The sequence below is a fragment of the Homo sapiens genome, chromosome 12 (genome assembly GCF_000001405.40).
Source record: "Homo sapiens chromosome 12, GRCh38.p14 Primary Assembly".
NCBI classification, from domain to species: Eukaryota; Metazoa; Chordata; class Mammalia; order Primates; family Hominidae; genus Homo; species Homo sapiens.
Genome location: NC_000012.12, coordinates 42,601,514 through 42,606,058, shown reverse-complemented (window position 1 = coordinate 42,606,058; position 4,545 = coordinate 42,601,514). Strand labels below are relative to the sequence as shown.

The following is a 4,545-nucleotide window of genomic DNA, read 5'->3' as shown; positions in this document are numbered from 1 at the left end:
TTGAATGATAAGATATATTTATTTGACACAAGTTTTCCAGGTGCCAGATTTGGTGCTAAATCATTTAAACAACACAACTCCCTCTCAGAGAGCATACATTCTAGTGGGGAAGACAGACAATAAAAATGTAAGTTCAAAAGATAAGTTTGTGACAAGAGCCAGGAGGCTTACAGTGGTATGCCAGACAGTCACTTCTTTTTGAGGCAGCTATACTTAGGCAGAGATTTGAAGTGAGGTTGAAAACCTTTACTTCCAGAGCTCAGTATCTAAATTGGGTTTCCACATAGATAAAATTAATAATTATAGTATAATGGGGGAAAGAATGAATTTTGCAGCTGACACATGGCATCTGAGTTTGGCCACCCTGGGTAATTTACTTCTCATTTCTGCACATGTGCTTCCAGATATAGCCATAATAGTGCCCACCTAACTGAGCCATTGGTGGAATTAAAAGGAGGCAGTATCATAATGAGTCAGATGTGTGTGTTTCTTTTCTTTTCTTTTTTTTTTTTTTTTGAGACGGAGTCACTGTGTCGCACAGGCTGGAGTGCAGTGGCACTATCTCGGCTCACTGCAAGCTCCGCCTCCCGGGTTCACGCCATTCTCCTGCCTCAGCCTCCCGAGTAGCTGAGACTACAGGCGCCTGCCACCACGCCTGGCTAATTTTTTTGTATTTTTAGTAGAGATGGGGTTTCACCTTGTTAGCCGGGATGGTCTCGATCTCCTGACCTCGTGATCCGCCCACCTCGGCCTCCCAAAGTGCTGGGATTACAAGCGTGAGCCACCATGCCCGGCCCAGATGTGTGTTTCTATATGAATTCATTTATATCACCCAGCAACCCTAGAGCACAGGCACCATTATTATCCTCATTATACAGATGAGGAAACCAAGCATCCAGAGGGTAGAAGTGGGGTTTAAATGGGGATGGTTTGACTACAGACCCAGGCTTTTAAAATACTATTCTATGCTGCCCCCTGGTATTAATAACTAGCAAACAGGGCTTAGTGAGTCTTTTTCCCCTTCACTTGAGACAAATACAGCTTTAGAAAACAGAAATTTTTTTACAAGTTTATCCTAAGAAAATAATGGATGAGCACAGAGTTAAAGTATGCTCATCACTACTAAAGAATGTTTATTGATTGATTGATTGATTATTTTTTAAGTTCTGGGGTACATGCACAGTATGTACAGGTTTGTTACATAGGTAAATGTGTGTCATGGTGGTGTATTGTACCTATCAACTCATCACCTAGGTATGAAGCCCAGCATGTTTATTTTTAAAAGTTGTTTTAATATCCTAAAAATGTATCATATAGCCATAAAGTTGTGGTTATAAAATAATATTAAATGGCATGGGAAATATTCACTATATGTTAAGTGAAAAGCAAGTTTCACCTGTCCAATGTGATCAATTGTTATAGTGCATATATGCCCAGAAAAAAAGACATGCATAGCGGGTAGAGAGAGCAGGGAGGAGGGCATTTCTGGCCTCAGCGGGATGCTTGTCCCTTAGGCTGTACAGGGTGGCTGGGGCTTTGTATTTTTGGATTTTTTTTTTTGTATTTTTCTATACTTTTCAAAATTTTTATGATGAACATATGTCTTTTCAGTACAAGAGAAACAATAGAAATGGAAGTTATCAAAACACTACTCCTTTTACAACAGCCTATTTGTCTTTGTTTATTCATACAATGTTTTTCTCCTTGTGGCATAATACTTCCATTAATGGAGATAAAGCATTCCTACCATACATTGCCTTCTCAGAAGTTTAATGAACGAGTTGGACAATCGTAGCCTCTACCTGGCATTTGCGCTCTCCCTCTGTTTGGCTGCTATAGGGCACCTTCTCCCCAAGCCTCTCACTCCGAATTTAGTGCTTTCCCTACAAAGGGTCTTACCCTTCTCTTGGGGTCAAAGAAAAATTGGGCAAATGAAATGTGTGTTTCTCTGTTAAAGAGGAGGGGCATCTGGTTCCTTGCTAGCTAGAACAATTAAAGCACTGATCTTTAACGTGAAACAGAGGTGAAGGATGGGATGTTAACAGCCACTCTGCCACCATGAGAAAATCGGACCCCATTTTGTCTGAATTTAACTGGAAATCTCATCAGCATTCTTCTATGACTCTAACTACAAATGTTACGTTTATGGTTGGAGAGCCCTGGAGTGCACTAACCTATAAAGCAGATAAATTAGAGGAAGGGATTCTGCATCACACACAAAAAGATGCTTTGCCTTACAAAAGATTCACCTCGGGGTCTTTTGACTATATGGACCCCTGTGAACAGCTGTTGTGTTGTTTACAGGTCATTAAGTATCTGGCTGAACGATGGGTTAAGGCCAGAGTGGGCTTCAGAGCTGGGGCCACTATGAATTACAGATCAATTAAATGTGGAAACAGCTTTCCAGTGGGGAATCCCACCCTTCTTTTCTGTCCTATGTCTGGGAAGGAACTGCTAGGGAGACAAGAAAAGACAGGCAGATTAGCAAGAAAGTAATTTGGGGGAACTTCTGAAAAAACTACAATGTGTGCATGCATAGAGGGTGGAGGGAGCGGGGAGGAGGGTACTCCTGGCCTCAGTGGGACACCTGTCCCTTAGGCTGTACATGGTGGCTGGGGCTTTGTTGCTCCCAGCAGGACTGCAGTGGGAGGAACCGTGAATCACAGATCCCTGTCAATGTTTGTCTCTGCTGTGGCAGCTTTGGGACAGGACCTCTTGTTTTGCAGACTCCAAAATTCTCCCTAAGAGATGTCTTAAGCAGAGGAGGACCCCCAAGGAAGAATTGTCACTGGGGCTCTCTAACCTCTACTGTAATTGACAGGCCCTGAAGAAATCTGTATCTCCATTAACTGATGGACTCAAAGACTACTAAAAATAGAAATAAGATCTACCCAGTTTAACTTATCTCATTCCCTCAAAATTCTATGCCAGCTGCTTTCTCTTCAACAAATTACAGAGCTGGGTCTCCCAGTCACCTGAAGTGAAGGAAGGTTTTAGGTTTAACCACTCAACCATTACTTTTCTGTTTCAAGTAATGAAAAATTTAATTTTTCTGGCAATTATTGATCTGATGTCAGTTCTTTATTCTACAGGTCATGATTTATGGCTACATCATGCGATGTGCATTGATCCAAGGCTTTTAATGCTCCTTCACAACATTTATTTTCCTACTAGTCTGAGAATCAGAGCCAGCACAGGATTCGCTTTCTGACCAACAGTAACATCATTGGTAGTGCCACGTAAGGGAGTTGACCATAACCGCCCCCTCCCCCCGGTATTAACTGGTACCTGAACTGTTTGGTACCAGCTCCAAATCCAAGGTGCCTACTTTGGCCAACAGAGGATCAGGATCCTTTCTACATACTGATTATACGACACCACTTTCACATTTCAGGAGTGGCCTCTAAAAGCAGTTGAACCCGTTGACCAATTATAGCCTAGAAGGACAGCTAAATAGTAATTATGTCAAACGCAACTCCTTTGTCAGATACACTGTCACATATAAATGGATAACACTAAACGATTTTATTTAAAAGATTTCCCCCACTCAGATATATAGGACTTCATTTCTGAGCTGAATTATCCTGGAACAAAAGTCAGGCTGTGACTTTTGTGTATTCAAAATCAAACATGATTCAGGAGTTAAATTAAGACTTCTCTAGAGAAGAAGTAAATAGGAATTTGGGTAATCTCTTTCCTCAAAATACTCCAGGTCAAAGTCTGTCCTCTGCATTTCTTAATGGGGTAGAATTTGGGGAATTCAATTAAGTATTTATTTAAATTCTTTAAGAGATGAAGAGCTCAGAAATGAGAAAATCCCCCACATTGTCTGTAGCAACTCCTGAGTTTATTCTTCGTTATTTTACTCCAGATCCTTTGTATAGGCATCCTTTTGACAAATTTCTTAAGAGCTTAAATTCTCCCTTTTAAGAATTTTTTTGAAAAAAGAAATTTAAAGCCTTTCTTTTGTGATAAACCTTGATCTTTGAGGGCTTTGCAACTAGTCATATTTCCTACCTTATCTTGGCATCTAGAAAGTACAGTGCCTGGGGAGAAAGACTGGGTAGTTAGGAGAAAAGGTGAGAGGGAGACTTTTCACCATATACACATTTTACCTCTTGAATTTTGAAACTTATGCATATATTATCTATTCAGAAAATTAATAAAATTTAAGTAAGAATTTCATGGCATAATGGCAACTTAGAAGACTGTTCTTTATTCTGCCATTATTTCCTTCCCATTTGTTGTTGAGAATGACTAGGCTTTGCTTTGTTTACTTTTATTATATCCTTATTTGGCCAAATTAAAAGTTAGCAACCCTATGTTATCCCTCTGCACTCTTTACTACTTGACTTTTGTCTTTGAATCTAGGTTTCAGGCTTTGACTCTGAATGTATGAATGCCTTTATTAAAAAAACATAGAGACAGGGTCTCACTCTGTTATCCAGCCTGCAGTATAGTCAGAGTATTGCTATGTTGCCCAGGCCGGTCTCAAACTCCTGACCTCAAGTGATCCTCCCACCTTGGCCTCCCAAACTGCTGGGA

The 4,545-nt window shown here is 40.5% G+C and overlaps 2 annotated features.

Annotated features, from left to right (window-relative positions):
* Positions 1,890–2,390: an enhancer, noted in NCBI's record as "NANOG hESC enhancer chr12:42997471-42997971 (GRCh37/hg19 assembly coordinates)". NCBI's record gives its function as "activates a minimal SCP1, AML or CMV promoter by ChIP-STARR-seq in naive H9 embryonic stem cells {active_cell/tissue: H9 hESC(naive)}" and the evidence as "EXISTENCE:reporter gene assay evidence [ECO:0000049][PMID:30033119]".
* Positions 2,391–2,891: an enhancer, noted in NCBI's record as "NANOG hESC enhancer chr12:42996970-42997470 (GRCh37/hg19 assembly coordinates)". NCBI's record gives its function as "activates a minimal SCP1, AML or CMV promoter by ChIP-STARR-seq in naive H9 embryonic stem cells {active_cell/tissue: H9 hESC(naive)}" and the evidence as "EXISTENCE:reporter gene assay evidence [ECO:0000049][PMID:30033119]".